Source organism: Homo sapiens, chromosome 19, assembly GCF_000001405.40.
Source record: "Homo sapiens chromosome 19, GRCh38.p14 Primary Assembly".
NCBI classification, from domain to species: Eukaryota; Metazoa; Chordata; class Mammalia; order Primates; family Hominidae; genus Homo; species Homo sapiens.
The window spans coordinates 1,503,220-1,523,354 of NC_000019.10; the positions used below are offsets into that span (position 1 = coordinate 1,503,220).

Below are 20,135 nucleotides of genomic sequence, written 5' to 3' on the forward strand. Positions count from 1 at the left end.
CAGCGCCTCCGTGTTTCTCCCTGGCCGCAGGCACAGCCTGGGGTCCCTGTTGAGGAAACTCTCCGAGTGTCAGCTCCCCTGGCCGGTTGCGCAGCCCCTAGGGTAACTGTCTGAGATCCAGGCGCCGGGGCAGCCCAGGGGGTCCGTGGCCGGGAGAGACCTTGAAACCTCCATTCCCTGGGACACCCCAAACCACAGCCGGGGAGAAGGGACAGCCTTACAGACTGACAGGGGAGGGAGGGCAGTGGGGTGCCGGCAGGCACCGACAGTAGCCTCATGAGCCAGTGCTGTCACGAGGAGGCCTGCGAGAGGGCCCCGCGTCCAATGGGAAGCGAGTGCCCACGCGGAAGTGGGCTCAGGGCACCTGGGGCCACAAGCCACGAGGCGCGCCCGGAGTCCCTTCATGTCCCGTCCTGCCGCCAGGGGGCACTGCGGCCCCCACTCATCCCTGCAGCACCCGCGGCCCTTGGCTGGGGAGCCCCTGGGACCCCCGCCGGCAGCGCGTGCTGCAGACATCAATCACAGAAGGCACCACGTCACTGAAGCGCCAGGCCTGGGCCGTCCCAGGCTCCGCTGGGTCCCTGGTATGCCGTCGGTGCTCAATAAGCACTTGCTGCAGAAATGTGTGAAGGAAAAAGGGGGCTAGGGAAGGGCTCCAGGAAAGTGTAACTCCCATGTCAGAGCTGGGAGGGGCTTCGAGGGCATCACTCACTGAGCGGGAAACTGAGGCTGGAGAGGGGCTGCACCTGGCCTGGGGTCATCTGCAAGATCAGGGGCCGTGTCCACCAATGTCCTGCACCCCTTGCCGACTCCCTCTGCCTCGGCCGCCTCCTTGCCCTTCACCCTCTCTGGTTGCTCCCTGCCTGGTGGGGGTAGCTTGTCCGTGCCCAGTGGACAGCGGGGACCCATGGACCCCAGGCACCCCAGGCCCCAGGGAGAAATGCAACCACTGGTCCCACACAGAGTGGGTTGTCCCGGGTGGCAGCATGAGCCATGCATCAGGCGTCAGAGGCAGAGGGTTGGCACCCCACGGAGGAGGGTTTGCTGAGCGACCTCGTGACACCCCCTAGTACACACACAGCCCGTGTCGGCCCTCCTGGTTGCAGAAGAACATAGCGGGCTGGCAGCTGGCAGACAGCAGCGGCTCTCACCTGCCTCCTCACCTGGGGAGGGGTTCCCAGGGTGGGCCTGAGAAAGTATGTGGCAGTTGGGGGAGGCTCAGGACCTACCAAAGCCCCATTCATTCCCCACCTGCTCCTATCCTCCTCTATTCCCTGCCCTCACCTCACACAGTGTCAGACGTGCAGGGAGGAGGTGAGGCTGGACCAGGAGGAGGGGTGGGGTGCGTGTGAACATGCGTGCCTACCCATGAGCAAGGTCGAGACGGGGTTCTACCAGCGTGTCCCTGAGTCTCTGTGACCGAGTGCATGTGACTGGGGTGCTTAAAAAAAAAAAAAGTGCTCTGCAGCCATAAAAAAGGATGAGTTCATGTCCTTTGCAGGGACATGGATGAAGCTAGAAGCCATCATTCTCAGCAAACTCACACAGGAACAGAAAACCAAACACCACTTGTTCTCACTCACAAGTGGGAGTTGAACAATGAGAACACATGGACACAGGGAGGGGAACATCACACACCGGGTCCTTTGTGGGGTGGGGGCCGAGGGGAGGGAGAGCATTAGCACAAATACCTAATGCATGTGGGGCTTAAAACCTAGATGATGGGTTGATGGGTGCCACAAACCACCATGGCACGTGTATACTAATGTAATAAACCTGCACATTCTGTACACACCCAGAACTTAAAGTAAAATTTTTTTTTAAAAAGTGCTTGTAAAAATTAAAGAGGAATAAAAGGGGGGTGAACAGCCAGTACGATAGTGCATGCCTGAAATTCCAGTGCTTTGGGAGGCCGAGGCAGGAGGATCGTTTGAGGCCAGTAGTTGGAGAGCAGTGTGGGCAACGTAGCAAGACCCCATCTCTACAAAAAATTTAAAAGTTAGCCGGGCATGGTGATTCACACCTGGAGTTCCAGCTGCTGTGGAGGCTGAGGTGGGAGGATCGCTTGAGCCCAGGAATTTGAGGCTGCAGTGAGCCATGATTGCACCACCGCACTTCAGCCTAGGTGACAGAGCAAGGGTCTACCTCAGAAAAAAAAAAAAAGGAGGAGCAAGCACGTGTTGATGGGTGGAAATCCAGCCAGAAATGCTGAGGCTGAAAAGATTGTCTCCGAGTTTCCTGGTAGCCAGGGGAAAAGGGGAAATTGGTACGTTGGTACGTTACAGTGCCTGGTTAGGCATGTCTTCTAAGGGGCATGCCTGTTTGTGACAGTGTCTCTGCCCTTCACACATGAGGGTGTGTGTGAGTAGCAGAGAGCAGAGACAGCACAGTGTCTGGGAAGTAAACAGATGATCTTCTGGGTACCCAGGGCAGCAGGGTGTCATGCTCGTTCATGACAGTGTCTCCAAGCAAGTGTGACGCGCGCAAAGAGAAAGAAAGCAGCGTTAAACTTTCTGAGTATAAATAGCTATGAGCTTCCTGGCAGCCAAGGAGAGAGGCGAAATAAAAGTCAGAGTCTCCTTAGTGCCTCCTCACCAGTGCCTGCCGGCTTGTGACAGTGGCTTTGACTGCATGCAGAGGTGTCTTAAGCGTGTGTGGGAGGGAGTCACATAGCTGCACAGGTGGGACGTATTTCAGAGCTGCCTGGAAGCCAGGGTGAGAGGGGAAATACGTTGACGTTGAGGCTGGTCAGATGTATCTTTCTTGCTGTGTGTGGCCGGGGCTCCTGCAGGGGCTCAGCCAGGACAGCGCCGGGCAGTCAGGCGTATGCGGCTGTCCTCCGCAGGGCTCCAGGGCCGGGCGTAGCCGGCGTGGGGCAGCAGCAGCTGGTCCTGTGTGCCGTCGGGGCTGACAAGACGCTGGACAGCCATCAGGTAGTCCCGGTGGGGTGCCAGCATCGGGCAGGGGCAGTGGCCTGGCGCCCACACGTACTCGCGTGCCCGCAGTGGCGAGCGGTTCTTGTAGACGAGCTGGATGCGCACCTCATAGCGGGTCTCCTGGGCCTGGTGGTGGTGGCCCAGCACTCGGGCCTGGAACACTGTTGAGGGGACGTGCTAAGCTGGCTGGCTGCTCAACTCTGCGCAAATCTCTACGCCCCCTCCCTTGCCAGAAGAGGGACTGAGGGTCAGGTGGGACCTCGGGATCTATAGGGACTAGAGTCAGGATCACGTCAGGGATCAATGAGGGATTAGGGTCAAGAGGCAAATTAGGATCAGAAGAAGGGGTCAAGGGTAAAGTCAGATTAGGGTCAGAGGTCAGGAGGAGGCCAGGTTAGTAGGGGCTAAGTCAGGGTAGAGGTCGGGGGTCTCACCAAAGTCACTGCCGCAATAGTGGAGTAGTCGGTGGGCGCGGCCGCGGGTGTCAGGGCAGGGTGGGCAGGGGTCTGTGGGATGGGCGGTGCTGTGAGGGGCACAGGCCTCAGTCCCCACTCATCCCCCACCCTGGCTGTCCCCACCTCACCTGGGGCCAGCGTTGGGGTCTGTGCAGGGGTGACAGCAGGGGCTGCGGGGGGCTGAGGCTCCACCCCCCGGGGCTGAGGCTGCCTCAGGGGCCAGCCCAGGGCCTGCACACGAGCCTGGAAGGGGCTGTAGCGCTCCCGAGGGAGCCAGAACTCAAACTCGATGCCAGGGTTGGGCTCCTGCAGGAGGACCTGGAGCAGGGGAGGGGACACAGGGAGCTTCACAGGAGGCTGGGGTTGCCTCCTGCCTCTGACCCTACGACCCCAGCCTCCCCACTTTGATCCTGTCTGCCCCCAGCCTCCCTCCTCTGATGCTCTGTCCCTAGCTGATCCCCTCTGACCCTGTCCCCACCCTCCCCCCTCTGATGCTCTGTCCCAGCCTCTCCCCTCTGACCCCAGACTCCCCCTTCTGGCCCCAGTCACCTCCACTCCTACCCTCTGTCCCCAGCCTCTCCCCTCTGTCCCCAGCCGACCCCCTCTGACCCTGTTGGAGGCCCAGTGGCACCTGTAGGAGCAGGTCATGGGAGGTGGGCCCGGCTGCTTGCAATGTCTCCTGGGGCCCTGTGTCTCGGGTGTAGACCACATGCGTGCCGGCCGCCTCGTAGGTCCCTGGTGGGCTGACCACCCAGTGCCCATTAAGCACGTAGCGCCCATCGCCCCCCATCAGTGCTGCAAGGGAACAGTCAGCCCTCAGGAACCTGTCGTCTCGTCTCCCAGACCCTGGGGTCCCCTCCTCAGGCCTCAGTCTCCCCATCTGTAAACAGGGACAACCGCCCCCGGGTGCCCAGCCGGGTGCCTCTCGCCTCACATCCTAGGATACCCAGGTGGTTGCGGCTCCTGTGTTCCACGCGGATGTGTCTGGCGCCCTCGGGGATCAGGGTCACGTTCCAGTACCCAGCGAAGGCACCTGGGTGGGAGGGTAGGAGGGTGTTGGGGTGCCAGTGGGGGTGTATTTGAGCGATGACTTGAGGATTTAATGAGCTACTGCGGGTAAGACAGCTAGCCAGGGTCCTGGGAACCGGAAAACCCTCCGTAAACGTTTGGAGTTACAATTACTATTGCTTCAGTGTGGCAGGGAAAGGGTTAAAACCCCATCTGTCCTGGGGAAGGGCGGGACAATCTGTCAGTAGCCAATCAGGATGAGGAGAAAGGGGGGCTGGGCCGCACACTGGCCAATCAGCACGGAAATTTGCTTCCGGGCCACGGCTCGTTAAAGGGCCCACTCTGACGTGTGTGCAGGGAGGGCGGGGCAGGTAGTCACCGGCGTCACGAAACACGCGCTGCACGAAAAGGCACGAGTCGTTGGCGCCTCCGCAGCGGCCACAGCGGTCCTCGAGGGCACCCGAGCCCAACAACCCATCACAGCCGGCGCTCTAAAGGGTGAAGGACAGGCGCGGCGTCACTGACGCTGGGAGGGGCAGGACCTGGGGAAAGGGCAGTGCCTGGGAGCAAGAGGACGAGGCCTGGAGGGAAGATGGGGGTGGAGCCTAGGGAGGAGCAGGACCTGGCGGGAGGAGGATGGGCTTGGCGCCCGGGAGTGGGTGCCTAAGGGGGGCTGGGGGCAGGGCCTGGAAGGGGAGGGGGAAGGCGGTGGAGCCTAGGGAGGGGGTGGAGGCTAATGGGAGGAGGGCGGAGGTGGAGCCTAGGATGGGTGGGGCCTGAGTGGGAGGTGGGCGGGGCTCGGGCGGGGCCTGACGAGTCCTTACAAGGCAGCGGCCAGCCACGCAGACCCCCTGGGCACCCGGGCTGCAGGCGGTGCCGTCCAGGACGCGGCCGAAGCTGTGGTAGAAGGCGTGCCCCTCAGCCAGGCAGTTGAGGTCGCACTGGTTGGGCGCTGAGGGCAGGAGGAGTCGGTGGGCCGGGGACCCCTGTTCGAGCTCCAGTCCCCCTCTACCAAGCTTCATCAGGCAACCATCACTTTGGGCAGATGAAGCCCAGAGATTTGGCCAAAGCCACACATCGAGGCTGAGGCAGAGCCAGGACTGGACCGTAGGTGCTCTGCGTCCAGCAACCTGGGACTCGCAGGCAAGTATCCTGGGGCTGCATTCATTCATTCATTCATTCATTCATTGTCTTTATATTAGGAGTCCTTACATATTATTCATTTTTAACACCATTACTCATTCTTCATTCCACTGAACACCTACTGTTTTCCAGACACTGTTCCAAGCTCTAGGATACAGAAGCAAGAATTCAATCAGTGTGCAGATGGATGGCCTTAAAAAAGGCCAGGTGTGGTGTCTCATGCCTGTAATCCCAGCACATTGGGAGGCTGAGGTGGGCAGATCTCCTGAGGCCAGGAGTTCAAGACCAGCCTGGGCAACATGGCGAGACCCCCCCGTCTCTACCAAAAATACAACAATAAAAATTTAGCCAGGCTTGGTGGTGGGAGCCTGTAATCCCAGCTACTCCGGAGGCTGAGGCAGGAGAATCGCTTGAACCAGGGAGGTGGAGGCTGTAGTGAGCCAAGATCATGCCACTGCACTCCAGCCTGGGTGACAGAGCGAGACTCCATCTCAAAAAAAAAAAAAAAAAAAAAAAAAGAAGATCTGAGCATCTGGCCCAGGCACCAGCAAGTACCCAATGAAGTGTTTGTCCAGTACTGACTGGACTGAGTCCCGCACAACTGAGCTGTGTCGCTGGTCCTCCCTGGGCCTCAGTTTCCCCTTCTGCCTGGAAGTGGGGCAAAATGAGCTGTCTGATCAAACACAAAGGCCGACAGCCCTGATCTCCACTCCTCCTTCTCCAGCTCCTTCTGGCTCCCATTTCCCTGAGCCTGGCTGGTGGACCCTGCCTGGAACGGATCCTGGGCTGGCCCTAGTGGGCCTCTGCGGGGGTGGGATCACAGCAGGTTTCCTCCAATTCTCAGATTGATGGAAGGAAGGAAGGGAGGGAGGGAGGGAGGGAGGGAGGAAGGAAGGGAAGGGAGAAAGGGAAGGAAGGGAAGGAAGAAAGGGAAGGAAGGAAGGAAATGAGGTTGATGGATGGCACTTTGTCCATTCTAGGCTTTTCTTATATCTGTGTCTGCCTTCCCCATGGCGTGTGAAGCTGCCTGTCTCCCTGAAATCTGGAGGCGCACTGACCCGGGCACGTAGTTATATAACTCGCTATTTTCAGCTCAATGCAGCAACATTTCCTGCTACTGGGATAAGTTTGAGAAGTGTTGGCCTCTGGATACAGCTCTAAGTCAATCCTTAGTTGGGTGTTCAGCCCTGTGCAGAATGAACCCTGCTTCCCTCTGCCCCTGTTTCACGCCTAACATATGCTGTTTCTGTTTCACTAACTCCTACATATCCTTCAAAGCCCTAGCACTAATACCCTCTTCTCTTTGCAACCCTCCAAGACCCTCTCCCTGAGACTAATGAGTTGTTCGCTCTGGACCAATTCTGACCACAGGAGACCAGACTACTCACCCCCATGGAAGGGCACCCACTGGTAGGTCTTCTGGGTGCCCAGGACAGGGCGGCCATTGTACAGGGCACACTGTAGGTCTCGGAAGGGCACAGCCCCTGGGGGGCAGTCCTAGGGACAGAGATAGGTGAGCCAGAGGCTGGGACAACCCCAAGGGGCAGGTGGTGGGCTTCAGGCAGTCTGGGGTGGGAGAGTGGTCTGGGAGGTGGGCAGGGCTTACTGGCAACTGGCAGAGGCGGTACTCATGGGAGTCTCCCCAGCACGGTTCTTCCCCAGGAAGCCTGAAGGGAGACAGAGTGTGGCGAGAACCCCCAGGGACCCCCTCCCAGGGCTGGCCTTCCACCCTCCGCCCCCGCCAACCCCACCCGCATTCCAGCGGGATCAGGGGGATTAAAGGGCACAGCATGTGTGGGCAGGCCGAGGGTGCGGCCAGGGGCCGGGCTGGGCCGGCGGGGGAGGAGGGGCAGGGACCCCCTCCGGGCCCCGCTCACCGGAGGCAGCGCCGGCTGCGCACAGAGACGCCACGCCCGCAGGAGCTGGAGCAGCGGGTCCAGGACACCCACGGGGTCCACTCGCCCGGACCCTACTTGGGGAGACAGAGGCACGGTCAGCCTTGTAGGGGGACGCTGGTGACCCCACACTGCTGACTGGGTCCCCATTCCCACTCGCCACCCCCTGGGCTCATGCCCCCCCTTACCTGAGCACTGACCCCCAAACCACAGTTCAGCAGGGCCCACAGGAAGAGCAGGAGGTTCTGGAAGAGGTGGGGCCTGGGGAACAGAGGGGCCGAGTCCATAGAGCCACCGCCAGAGACACAGGGTTGTGTCCCGGCTCTGCCCTGACTGGCTGTGTGATCTTGGAAAGTAACTAAACCTCTCTGAGCCCTACCTCTCGTCTCTGAAAAACGGGGTAATAGAGCCTCCCTTACAGGAAAGTTGAGGGGTCCTGTGGATCAGGTAAAGAAGACAGGAGACGTGGAGCCCGGTATGGAGAGGAAGAACTCAGAATGTCATCTGCAATTATTATTGTTGTTAGTTAGTTTGTTTTTGAGACGGAGTCTCGCTCTGTCGCCCAGGCTGGAGTGCAGGGGTGCGATCTCGGCTCACTGCAACCCTCCCCGGTTCAAGTAATTCTCCTGCCTCAGCATCCCGAGAAGCTAGGATTACAGGTGCCTGCCACCACGCCGGACTAATTTTTGCCGTTTTAGTGGAGACAGGGTTTCACCATCTTGGCCAGGTTGGTCTCAACCTTCTGACCTGAAGTGATCCACCTGCTTTGGCCTCCCAAAGTGCTAGGATTATAGGCATGAGCCACTGCACCCAGCCTACAATATTATTGATATGTGTATTGTGCTATAATGCAGACAGTAGGTGCTTAATCGATGCTTGATGATTGGAGGGATCATTCAAAAATAGTACACAGGTGCCTCCTAGGGCTGGGGCCCCCTCCCCGCCCTCCCCACCATCACTGCTTCTACCTTTCCGTGTGGCCTGAGGCCAGCCACTCCACTCTCCCAGGCCTCAGTTTCCCCATCTGTGCAGTGGGGGCCAAGTGGACTCAGTCCATGATTCTGTGACACCCTGCGGAAGGTGCGGCCGGCAGGGGCTGGATCAGGAGTTGGGTCCCTAGAAGAGGCCCTCAGCTGCACCCCGGCCCCAGGGCTCCCTCAGCTCCCAGACAGCAGGGAGTCCCCCGGATTGGGGATGGGACAGGGAGGGGGTGACCTGGCCCAGGTCCGTTCGGTGCCTCATGGCCTCATCGGCGGAGGGGGTGGGACTGAGCTCCGGGGCAGCCCGTGGAGGGAAGGGGCCACTGCTGAGGCTGGAGCAGGGAAGGGGAGGAGGCTGACTGCCTCTCTGGGCCTTAGTTTCTCCATCCTGTCAGGGCAGGGATGAAGTCACTTGCCATCCACACCCTCCTCATGACCCCAGCCTGCAGGGGGAAAGAGGGGGGAAGGGAAGCAGCCGCCAAGTGAGCCAGGGCGTCCTGCTGCCAGCAGAGCCTGAAGGCAGGTGGGTGAGCCCCGGCCCGGGCACCAGCTGGGGAAGAGGCTGGGTCCCACCTGGACCCTGTTTCCCTGGCTCCAGCATTTGGACTTCTGAGGCACCAAGGGTCTAGGGTCCTGGGTATCTCTAGGTACTGAGACAGCTGTGTGGTCTGCTGCATCCGTGCCCCTCTCTGAGCCTAGAGCCTGGGCTGGCCCAGGAAGCAGGAAGAAGTCTGCACCAGAAACTTAAAACAAGGGGAGGGGGGCCAGGTGCGGTGGCTCACGCCTGTAATCCCAGCACTTTGGGAGGCCAAGACAGGCGGATCACCTGAGGTCAGAAGTTTGGGACCAGCCTGACCAACATGGTAAAACCCCATCTGTACTAAAACACAAAAATTAGCCCGGTGTGGTGGTGCACACCTGTAATCCCAGCTACTTGGGAGGCTAAGGCAGGAGAATCGCTTGAACCCAGGAGGCGGAGGTTGCAGTGAGCCGAGATGGGGCCAATGCACTCCAGCCTGGGCGACATAGTGAGACTCAGTCTCAAAAACAACCAACCAACCAAAAAAAACAGGGGGAGGGGGCTTGACCTTCTGACCACCCCCACCGGACTCTAAGCCTGGTTTGAGGAGTGGGGGTCTAGGTGGTGAAAAGTGGGGGGCTACAAGGACCACCCTACCCCCTCCTCAATGGGCCCTGCCCAGAATCAAGGCTCTCCCCTCCCCGTGTGGGCTGCAGCCCGGACTGGCGGAGGGATCTCAAGGCAAGCCGCACCTCTGGGCCTCAGTTTCCCCCGGAGAAAGTGGGAGGATAGGCAGATGGACTTACCGGCTGCGCGGAGCCCAGGCAGCGCGTCCCGGCTCCCTGAGCGGCCCCAGGGCGAGCGGAAGCGGCGGGGCCCAAGGTGCTGGGCGGGGTGGGGAGCCTGGGACGGTCCCTCCCACCGCGGCCTCCGCAGGCGCGCCCAGGCCCGGGTCAGGAGGGGCGGCGGCCCCGGGCGCCCTCGCGCGGCGGGCGCGGATCTGCGGCAGGGGACTGCCCGGCGGACGCGAGCGCAGGGGTCCCGGAGCCGCAGGCTGGTGTCGGGCGCCCGGGTCCGGGTGACCTTGGCAGGCTCGGGCGGGGGCGCGGCGCGGGGACTGACCGCCCTCCTCTGCCCCGGGGCTGCTATTCCGGGCGCCGCGCTCAGGGCCCGGGAATGTGCGCGAACCGAGGTCACCCCGCCCTGGGTCTGGGAGTCCCGGGCGCTGCCCCTACCCCGCCGACGCCCGGATTGCGTCCCACCGGCGTCCCCATCCCCGGTCACAGCCCCCTCCCCTGGTCCTGCCCCTCACCCCTCTCGCGGGGGGTCGACCTGCTCGTGGATGGGGACCCTGGCGCGCCTGGGCTCCCATCCGGGGGTTCCCCGACCCAGGTCCCGGTCACCCCCAGCGCAGGGCCCCAGCGCACTGGGGAGAGGCTCGGCCCCGTGGGCCGCGCGCGGGGGGCGGAGAGACCCTCCCAGCTGGCGCATTCCCGGGCGCTGCTGTCACCAGGGGACGCGCCCCACCCCGCCTCCCGCCCTCCCTGCCGGGCCCCGGGGCTGCCAGCGGGGCTTCAGAGCCAGACCCGGGTCCAGGCGGTCCCTCTCCCTCACAGCCGCGGCCACACCCTCTCCGGCCTCAGTTTCCCCATCCCAGCAGTGGGCCCGGCAGGGATCTCCACCGCGAACCTTCCATCTGGAATCCGGCTCTGCGCGGACCGGCAACGCGAGGGGGCACCCCGGGACTCCCCCCACCCCACCCTTTCCCGCCGGGCGTCTGTGAGCCGCCCCGTGCCCACCCACGCAGGGATGAGACCAGGCCCTGGGTTCTGGGCTCCACCAGTTTCTGGTGTCGCCCCACGGCGCCCCCTGGCGGGCGGGCTGAGGGACTGGGGCACTAAAGGAGGGGGTGGAGGGACTGTCCTGCTCCCTGGGCTCCACCCAGGCTCGGTCTGAGCACCCCCTCCTCCAGGAAGCCCACCCTGCTGTCCCACAGCGCTGACCACAGGGAGAGAGGTTTGCTGGGGACATACAGGGTGTTGCTGGTCCAACTCAGTCTGCCCTCCAGCCTGTAGCATGTCAGCAGAGCCACCCATATGCCATTTATTGAGCACCTACTGTGTGCACAGCTGTGAACAACCCAGCCAGTCCCAGGCCAGCGGGTAAGGCAGCCCCCTGGAATGTATGACCCCCCACCTTCTGACCTGGACTATTGGAGAAAATAGCCCAGGCCCACCACTGATGGCCCCAGGTTGGGGGGTGGTGGTTGCGGGGATGTCAAGAAGGCCCTCACTGAAGGGGTCAAGAGAGAAGGGCAGGCCGGGCGCGGCGCCTCATGCCTGGAATCCCAGCACTGTGGGAGGCCGAGGCAGGCGGATCACCTGAGGTCAGGAGTTTGAAGCCAGCTTGGACAACATGGTGAAACCCAGTATCTACTAAAAATATAAAACTTAGCCAGGCATGGCGGTGAGTGCCTGTAATCCCAGCTACTCGGAAGACTGAGGCACGAGAATCGCTTAAACCCGGGAGGCAGAGGTGGCAGTGAGCCGAGATCACGCCACTGCACTCCAGCCTGGGAGACAGGCGAGACTCCGTCTCAAAAAAAAAAAAAAAAAAAAAAAAGGAAAGAAAGAAAGAAAGAAGTCAGCTCAGGACATGTGTCAATGTGTCATTAGGACAATTGTATCCTCCTCAGATGTGCCCCATTCCCAGATGTCCAGTCCACAGAGCTCCACTGGGAGTGCAGACAGCAGGCCCTGTGCCCCGCAGGGAAGGTATACAGAAAGCACAGCGCCCACAGGGAGCACACACAGCAGGCATTATGCTCTGCAGGAAGGGTATACAGCAGGTGCTGCATCTTGTAGAAATGCATAGAGTAGACTCTGCCCTGCAAAGGAGTGTATACAGTAGATATGGCACCTTCAGAGGAGTGCATACAGCAGTCACTGCATCCTGTAGAGAGTATATACAGCAGGTGCTGCATCCTGCAAGGAAGGTATACAGCAGGTGCTGCATCCTGCAAGGAAGGTATACATAAGGCGCTGTCTCCTGCAGGGAGCGCATACAGTAGGCACTGAGTTCTATGGAAAGTGTACCCCGCAGCCCCTGTTCCCTCCTGGGAGTGCATACCGCAGCCACTGCACCCTGCGTGGGGGCTCTAGAGCTGGCAAGATTGGCAGAGGTGGTGGTGAAGATGTGGAGGGCTGCCCCCCACCCCCAGTTCTTGTCCCCTACCGTCTCCCACCTCTGTCCTCTGGATGTCCCTAGGAGGAGGCTGGGAGCTCAGCCTAAGACACCCGGTGTAGGTGGAGGGGGTGGCTGCTGAGGCTCAGAGGCTCCTGGGGTCCCAGTTGGGCGGGGTCCCAGCTTACTACATTCCCCTGCCCTTGCCTGGACCCTGACCCAGGAATCAGCCGAGTCCCCCTACTCTGAATTTCAGCCTGGACCCCCTCCTTGAGGCAGCGTCAGGGCTAGAGGGGAGACTGAGACGCGGGTCCCGGCGGATGTGGATCAATTAGGTTCCATTTCCTTCATGGTTGTATGGCCTTGAGGCTTAAGGAATGCCGCGATCTGCTGTGTGACTGGGCTACAGTGAACAGTATGGTACCCCACACTTCAAACTGTGTTCACAGGGTAGATTTCATGGTAAGGGTTCTTACCATAAAAGAACAAAAACAGTGGGACACAAGGGACCTCGGGAAGTGACAGGTAGGCCTGTCATCTTGAGTGTGGTGACTGCATATGTGCAAACTCATCAAATTGCAGACACTGGGCTGGGCACGGTGGCTCACGCCTGTAATCCCAGCACTTTGGGGATCCAAGGCCAGTGGATCACCTGAGGTCAGGAGTTCGAGAGCAGCCTGACCAGCAAGGTGAAACCCCGTCTCTACTAAAAATGCAAAACCTAGGACACGGTGGTCCCAGGATACCTCAACCTCCTGCGTGGACTGGGTGGGGCCTCCCCATCCCTGCCCCACAGACCCCTGGACCCCCCGGTCCCTGGGGCTGTCCGTCTGTTCCTGGGCACCAGCAGGGGCCACGCAGAGTTGGGACCCTCCCCGGCTGGAGTCACCCCATGGGACTCAGGGCCCTGGACCCTCCTTGGCCGCTGCTCGCCCGGTCCTCATTCTGTGCCGGTTTCTTGTGCACGCTCGGAATCTGTTCCCTGCAGGCACCCAGTGCCCCGGGCACCGTCCAGAATTCCTGGAAGAGACCTCTTGCTTTCTTACCCCACTGCCCAGGCTCCAGGCCTGTGACATGGCCTCCCCAGGGTGCCCCTTCCCCTCCACCTTCACGTGCTGAAAACCACCTGTTCTGTCACTTTCAGGCGACGTGGATCAGGTGGACTGGCCCACCTCCTCCATTGTGTATGACGTAACCCATGCTTGGCCAAACAGATAATTCCATCTCCTAGAGACGGGGATTGGCTGGGGGATGACCATGTGACCCAAGTGGGCCAATGAGAGCCTGCCCTGGGACTTGAACTGGGCCATTAGAGGAAAAGGTGGTTTCCCGTGGCTGGGGTGGGCTCCAGGGATGGCGTGAGTTGAGGTAGGCTGGACTTTCTTGACTGCTCGAAGAGATGCACTGTCTCAAGCAGATGCTGACAGACGGCAGCAAATGGAAGGGGCCAGATTTCTTTTTTTTCTTTTTATCTTTCTGTCCTTTTCTTTCTTTTTTTACTTTTTTTTGAGACAGGGTCTTGCTCTGTCGCTCAGGCTGGGGTGCAGTGGTGCAATCACAGCTCACTGCAGCCTTGACCTCCTGGGCTCAAGCGATCCTCCCACCTCAGCCTCCCATGTAGCTGGGACTACAGATGCATGCCATCACATCTGGCTAATTTTTTTGATCTTTAGTAGTGACAGGATCTTGCTATGTTGTCCCGACCCAGGCTGGTCTCAAACTCCTGGGCTCAAGAGATGCTCCTACCTCAGCCTTCCAAGTAGCTGGGACTACAGACATGCATCACCATGCCTGGCTAATTTTTATATTTTTTGTAGAGTTGGGGGTCTCCCCCTGTTGCCCAGGCTGGTCTCGAACTCCTGAACTCAAGTGATTCTCTTGCCTCAGCCTCCCACACTGCTGAGATTGCAGGCATGTGCCACCCACCGTGCCCAGCCCAAAAGTCTAGATTTCTGAGAAGGTTGTTTGAGTTCCTGGATTGAGCCTCATCTGAAGGCATTCATCCATTTTTTTTCACTTTAGCAATTTTTAGTTTCTTACTTTTTTTTTTTTTTTTTGCCAGGGTCTCGCTCTGTCATCCAGGCTGTACTGCAGTGGTGCGATCTTGGCTAACTGCAACCTCTGCTTCCCAGGCTCAGGCAATCCTCTGGGATCAGCCTCCCAAGTAGCTCGGACTACAGGTGAGTGCCATTATACCCAGCTAATTTTTGTATTTTTAGTAGAGGTGGAGTTTTGCCACGTTGCCCAGGCTGGTCTCAAACTCCTGAGTTCAAGTGATCCTCCCACCTTGGCCTCCCAAAATGCTGGGATTACAGGTATGAGCCACTGTTCCCAACCTTATTTTAGAATTTTTAAAAAATTTTTATTATTATAGAGACAAGGTTTCAGGAACGAAACTCCGTCTCAAAAAAAAAAAAGGTGATAACAATTACTATTTCATGATTATTGACTAAATTCCAAATGTTATTTTATTTGGATTTGGATTTCACCAGGCTTGTTTTTTTGTTTTTTTTTTTTTTTTCAGATGGAGTCTTGCTCTGTCTCCCAGGCTAGAGTGCAGTGGCGTGATCTCGGCTCACTGCAAGCTCTGCCTCCTGGGTTCACGCCATTCTCCTGACTCAGCCTCCCAAGTAGCTGGGATTACAGGTGTGTGCCACCACGCCTGGCTAAATTTTTGTATTTTCAGTAGAGACAGGGTTTCACTGTGTTAGCCAGGATGGTCTCGATCTCCTGACATCATGATCCACCCACCTCGGCCTCCCAAAGTGCTGGGATTACAGGCGCGAGCCACTGCACCCAGCCTTTTTTTTTTTTTTTTAAACAAATGTCCTTTTTCTGTTCCTGGATTCCATAAGACATTGAACTATTTGTCTCATAATTAGTAAAAAGACCCATGCAGATTAAAAATGGATTATTTCTGTGGTAATCGGGTGGGTTCTGATGCCCATGCAGCACCTTGAACACGGCTGGAGTTGATGAGTATCCCTGATGGGAAGTCGATGCTGCGTCCATGGAGAGAAGGGGCACGGGGTTGAGTGTCCACCCAGCACCTAATGGAGATACAGACCCTCTCCCTGCCACTGGCGCTCCCTGTCAGGTGGGACAGACACCAGCAAGCTAGCAAGGAAACCATCATTCTGGGTTGTGGTGGAACTGGGGAGAAGCAGGCATGGATCACGTCTAGGGCATCTTGGGGCAGGGGCGGCCTCCTGGGCACAGGTGGCCCTTTCCTGCCTGGGCCTAAAAGCTAAGAAGAGGATGCCAGGCAAAGTCTGGGAGGGTGGCAGAGGGAACAGCACATGCAAAGGCCCTGTGGCAGGGTGAGCTTGGTGTGCGTCTGAGGACAAATGGGAAGGCCAGAAGGTTGATGTCTTGGCCTTGTGTCCTCATCTTGGGTGGTCAACTCTGGGGAATGTTGTATTCAGTTCCTCAGAGGGTGCCTGATGAGTGTGGGACTCAGGGTGCCCCGGGGGTACCCAGCTCCCACCCTGCTCCCTGAACCAACTCTCTGCACTAAAGCCTTGCTTCAGGCTCTGCCTTTGGGGGAACCCACACAGATGGGCCAGGAGGGTTGAGTAACCTGCCCCAGCTGCCAGTGCTAAAGCCACCCACCTGGACAATGTCAGTGGAGGAAGTGAAGAGAGTGGGTGAGAGGCCCCAACACTGAACCCCAGGCTCCCAGGAGAAGGAGGAGGTGGCTTAAAGGAGAACTGGAAAAATGCATCCAGAAAGATGGGAAGGGGCCAGGCGCGGTGGCTCACACCTGTAATCCCAGCACTTTGGGAGGCTGAGGTGGGTGGATTACCTGAGGTTGAGAGGTCGAGACCAGCCTGACCAACATGGAGAAATCCGGTCTCTACTAAAAACACAAAATTAGCTGGATGTGGTGGTGCATGACTGTAATCCCAGCTACTCAGAAGGCTGAGGCAGGAAAATCATTTGAACCCGGGAAGCACAGGTTGTGCTGAGCCGAGATTGCGCCATTGCACTCCAGCCTGGGCAACAAGAGCAAAACTCCATCTGAAAAAAAAAAAAAAAAAAGATGGGAAAACATCAGGAGCAGGGGTGTCCCAGAGGACAAGAGAGGACGGTGCTTTTATTATTATTATTTTTTTTTTTAATTTTTTTTTTGAGAGAGAGTCTCGCTCTGTCTCCCAGGCTGGAGTGCAGTGGCACAATCTCGGCTCACTGCAAGCTCCGCCTCCCGGGTTCACGCCATTCTCCTGCCTCAGCCTCCCGAGTAGCTGGGACTACAGCCGCCCGCCACCACACCCGGCTAATTTTTTGTGTTTTTAGTAGAGACGGGGTTTCACAGTGTTAGCCAGGATGGTCTCGATCTCCTTACCTCGTGCTCCACCCGCCGTGGCCTCCCAAAGTGCTGGGATTACAAACCTGAGCCACCACGCCCGGCCACTTTTATTATTAATTATTATTATTATTGTTTTTGAGACAGGGTCCTGCTCTGTCACCCAGGCTGGAGTGCAGTGGTGCCATCACAGCTCACTGCAGCCTCAACCTCCTGGGCTCAAGCAATCCTCCCACCTCAGCCTCCCAAGTAGCTGAGACCACAGGCGTGCACCACTCCACCCGGCTAACTGTTTATTTTTTGTAGAGAAGGGGATCTCGCTGTGTTGCCCAGGCTAGTCTCAAACTCCTGGACTCAAGGGATCCTCCTGCCTCAGCCTTTCGAGTAGAGTAGCTGGGATTACAGGCATGAGCCCTGCATCTGGACAACAGTGCTTTTAGGAGGAAACAGAGTTGAGAGAGGGAAGAACAGGGCTTGGTTTCGGGGCACCAAGTCTGGACGCCCCCTCCTGCGCTCACACTGGGCCATGTCGTGCAGCATAAACCACAATCAGTGGGGGTCTCTGGAGCCCTGTGGTGGTGGTACGTCTCCTGCCTGCTCTGCTCCCAGGGCCATGGGTCCCTGGGCACCTGCGTGGTCAGGCGTCCAGGCACGTGAGACCCACGGGTGCTTGGTAAAGGCCAGGAGACCAGGCAGGGACCAGGGAGCTGGGCTGAGTCACATTGGTTGGTGGCCTCCACCCTGGCGCCTGCCGGAAGGAGGGTGCTGGGGAGGCCTGGGCCGCCGCTGACCTCGGAGGCAGCCCCATGAGCCTCCTGGGCCTCCAGGGAGTCGGGTGCCTGCTGTCTCAGCTGCCACGCCTCCACCTGCAGTAGGTATTTTGAGCAAAGCTTCCCGGCACTTCTCCGCAAAATCCGCTGAGTCTGTGGTTTTCTCAGGTCAGCAAAAGAACAGAGACTGGAGAGGAAATCGAGCCTGTGGTCTGGGATGTGAGAGGTGCTGGGGGTACAGGGGCTGCAGTGCTAGACCACCCAGGCCTCAAGAACCCAGGGCAGGGGGTAGGATGGGAGGGCCAGGTGGCCCCATTGAACCCTGCCCTGCCCCTTTGCAAAACGGCATCCTGTGCTCATCACACAAGCCGTGCCTCAGTTTCCCCATCTGTAAACTGGGGCATTAGTAGGACTATGTGTTTTAGGGGGTAGGGAATCTAATATATTTTTCCCTTTTTTTTTTTTTTGACAGAGTCTCGCTCTGTCGCCCAGGCTGGAGTGCAGTGGCGCGATCTCGGCTCACTGCAAGCTCCGCCTCCCAGGTTCACACCATTCTCCTGCCTCAGCCTCCCGAGTAGCTGGGACTACAGGCACCCGCCACCACACCCGGCTAATTTTTTGTATTTTTAGTAGAGACGGGGTTTCACCATGTTAGCCAGGATGCTCTCGATCTCTTGACCTCATGATCTGCCCGCCTCGGCCTCCCAAAGTGCTGAGATTACAGGTGTGAGCCACCACGCCCGATTAATTTTTGTATTTTTAGTAGAGACAGGGCTTCGCCATGTTGGCCAGGCTGGTCTCGAACTTCTGACCTCAAGTGATCCTCTTGCCTTGACCTCCCAAAGTGCTAGGACTACAGGTGTGAGCCACAGGGCTCGGCCAATTCTTTTTTTTTTTTTTTTTTTTTAACCTTTGAGGTGAAATTCACATAACATAAAATTTACCCTTTTTAAAATGCACAATTCAGCAGCATTTACTGCCCTCACAGTGTTGAACAAGCACCCCCTCTATCTAATTCTAAAACAGTTCATCCTCAAAAGGAGACTTGTACCCAACAGCAGTCCCTCCCCATCCCCTAATCTGTGTAAGAGGCCTTCAGGGAGAGCTGAGGGGTGTCTTTGGGGGCATTCATCCTTAGCCCCCCAAAACTCCCCTGGGGCAAGGCTGTGGTGAGCAGCCAGCCTGGGGCAGGGCGGGGGATGGGGACAGCTGGTTAGGAGGGCTCACATAGGCTGGGGGACAGAGTCCCTGCTCAGAGGGGCACAGGCTGGGACTAGGAGGCCTTTCCCAGCTCCATAGTGGAGTCTCAGCCAGGAAAAGCCGCGGGCGGCCAGGGGAGAGGGAGGGCGAGCCGGTCTCTGTGCAAGGAGCATCAGCTGACAGGCGGGCTGCGAGGCTCTGGGCCAGGAACTCTGATTTCTTTCCCCCTAGGAAGCTCAGACACCCGCCTCAGCACGAGGGCCTTGCCTGGCACTGCTCCCTGGGACTGCTGGGGCTGGCAGCCTGAAAGAGGGACAGACCTATTGTGGGGGGACCAGGAGCTCTGGATTCACTCCCACCTAGACTCCAGGCTCAGCCACATGCAGTCCGCGGTGATCCTGGGCTGGCACCGGACGTTCGGAGCCTCAGTTTCCTCATCTGTAACACAGGGCTAAGAACAGCACCTGCCTCAGGGACAAGTTACTGCCCAGAACGGGCCTGGCTCACTTCCTTCCACCTCCAAAGCTTTCCTTGACCCCTGACTTGGTGAAGTCTTGGACGTTCTTGCAGTCCGTTAAGCAGTGGTCCTTTTACGAGGACAGGGCTGGGTCTGCCTTGGGCTCGCACAGCCTGACACAGGCCCATATGCAGTAAGTGCTTAACAAATGCCTGAACTGATGCCAGGATGGACTGGTGCTATCAGGAAGGAACCGGAAGCCAGGCCTGGTGGCTCACGCCTGTCATCCCAGCATTTTGGGAGGCCGAGGCAGGCGGGTCATTTGAGGTCAGGAGTTTGAGACCAGCCTGACCAACATGGTGAAACCCGTCTCTACTAAAAATACAAATAAATAAATACATCAGCTGGGTGTGGTGGTGCATACCTGTAGTCCCAGCTACTTGGGAGGCTGAGGCAGGAGAATTGCTTGAACTCGGGAGATGGAGGTTGCAGTGAGCCAAGATCACACCACGGCACTCCAGCCCGGGTGACAGAGCAAGACTCTCTTTCAAAAAAACAAACAAACAAAAAAAAAAGCAAGGAACTGGCTTTCTGCCCCTGGAGGATTCCAGGGTGACAGTCGTGTGACAGCTCAGACACTCGGGCCCCGAGCAGCCCACCTTGCAGCCACCTCACCTGATTCTCATCAGCAGGGGACTTGGGCTCCCCAGCTGCAACCCGGTGGCCCCAGGCTGGCCAGGAATCTTCCGCCCTGGCCCTGGGACCAGAAACCCCGCAAAGGTGCCCGAGCTCAGCCCCGTCCAATGCACGGGGGCCCCATTCGTGACACCAGGTGGACACGTGACGGCTCAGAAGGTGTTTCCTGTCCCTAGTGGTGTGGCCGGGCCAGATTCCGAAATCTGGTCCCTGGAAAATTCCAGCCCCACGGAGCCTGGTAACCCCTCCCCATTCCTGGTGTTATGTAACATTTGGGGATTAATACCGCAGGCGTCCAGGGGCGGCTGCCGGGATTCAAACCCAGCGCTGCCCTTTCCTGGGCTGACTGAGCGACTTTGCGTCCCTGGGTCTCAATGTCTTGCCTGTACAATGGGGACAAGGCCCGTTTTTGTGTCCCAGGCTGGGTGGAAGGGTGAGGGAAGACCTCACCAGGAAAGGGGTGCACCTGAGTCTGGGGCAGGGCTTGGAGCAACCACCCCCACGATTCCGGGGGAGTCTCAAGCCCCCCACTGTCTTCCCACCCAGCTGTTCTCTGAGTTCTCTGAGGTTTCTGATGCTCTCTGAG

General features: G+C 58.5%; 1 protein-coding gene and 2 long non-coding RNA genes across 14 annotated transcripts, besides 4 other annotated features; 2 read left to right on the forward strand and 1 right to left on the reverse strand.

Moving 5' to 3' along the window:
- Window positions 1–1,802: 1,802 nt before the first annotated feature.
- ADAMTSL5 (ADAMTS like 5) lies at window positions 1,803–9,800 on the reverse strand. Of its 12 annotated transcripts, none has more exons than XM_047438756.1 (13): window positions 9,744–9,800; window positions 7,857–7,941; window positions 7,626–7,698; window positions 7,420–7,511; window positions 7,149–7,209; window positions 6,931–7,039; window positions 5,224–5,351; window positions 4,779–4,890; window positions 4,338–4,424; window positions 4,023–4,186; window positions 3,520–3,709; window positions 3,371–3,442; window positions 1,803–3,097 (listed from the first exon to the last, which is right to left on the reverse strand). In XM_047438756.1, the coding sequence occupies exons 10-13, from the start codon at window positions 4,179–4,181 to the stop codon at window positions 2,796–2,798; spliced, it is 723 nt and encodes a 240-aa protein (XP_047294712.1). In that variant the 5' UTR covers window positions 4,182–4,186; window positions 4,338–4,424; window positions 4,779–4,890; window positions 5,224–5,351; window positions 6,931–7,039; window positions 7,149–7,209; window positions 7,420–7,511; window positions 7,626–7,698; window positions 7,857–7,941; window positions 9,744–9,800; the 3' UTR covers window positions 1,803–2,795. The 12 variants fall into 12 exon arrangements, with proteins under 12 accessions (XP_047294712.1, XP_047294711.1, NP_001354126.1 ...); XM_047438755.1 differs by having other exon boundaries at window positions 4,326–4,424; NM_001367197.1 differs by lacking the exon at window positions 7,857–7,941 and adding an exon at window positions 8,406–8,508.
- Window positions 4,525–5,374: an enhancer, noted in NCBI's record as "H3K27ac-H3K4me1 hESC enhancer chr19:1507743-1508592 (GRCh37/hg19 assembly coordinates)". NCBI's record gives its function as "activates a minimal SCP1, AML or CMV promoter by ChIP-STARR-seq in primed H9 embryonic stem cells {active_cell/tissue: H9 hESC(primed)}" and the evidence as "EXISTENCE:reporter gene assay evidence [ECO:0000049][PMID:30033119]".
- Window positions 4,699–4,898: a silencer, noted in NCBI's record as "silent region_9725". NCBI's record gives its function as "represses an Ori minimal core promoter by ATAC-STARR-seq in GM12878 lymphoblastoid cells {active_cell/tissue: GM12878}" and the evidence as "EXISTENCE:reporter gene assay evidence [ECO:0000049][PMID:35858748]".
- Window positions 4,773–5,895, forward strand: LOC124904609 (uncharacterized). The gene is made up of 2 exons (XR_007067084.1): window positions 4,773–4,897; window positions 5,445–5,895. It is a non-coding gene; the product is annotated as an uncharacterized LOC124904609 (long non-coding RNA).
- Window positions 9,625–9,994: a silencer, noted in NCBI's record as "silent region_9726". NCBI's record gives its function as "represses an Ori minimal core promoter by ATAC-STARR-seq in GM12878 lymphoblastoid cells {active_cell/tissue: GM12878}" and the evidence as "EXISTENCE:reporter gene assay evidence [ECO:0000049][PMID:35858748]".
- Window positions 10,834–10,913: a silencer, noted in NCBI's record as "silent region_9727". NCBI's record gives its function as "represses an Ori minimal core promoter by ATAC-STARR-seq in GM12878 lymphoblastoid cells {active_cell/tissue: GM12878}" and the evidence as "EXISTENCE:reporter gene assay evidence [ECO:0000049][PMID:35858748]".
- On the forward strand, window positions 14,183–19,258 carry LOC107985337 (uncharacterized). Its single transcript, XR_001753835.2, has 3 exons — window positions 14,183–14,300; window positions 15,073–15,217; window positions 18,628–19,258. It is a non-coding gene; the product is annotated as an uncharacterized LOC107985337 (long non-coding RNA).
- Window positions 19,259–20,135: the final 877 nt, after the last annotated feature.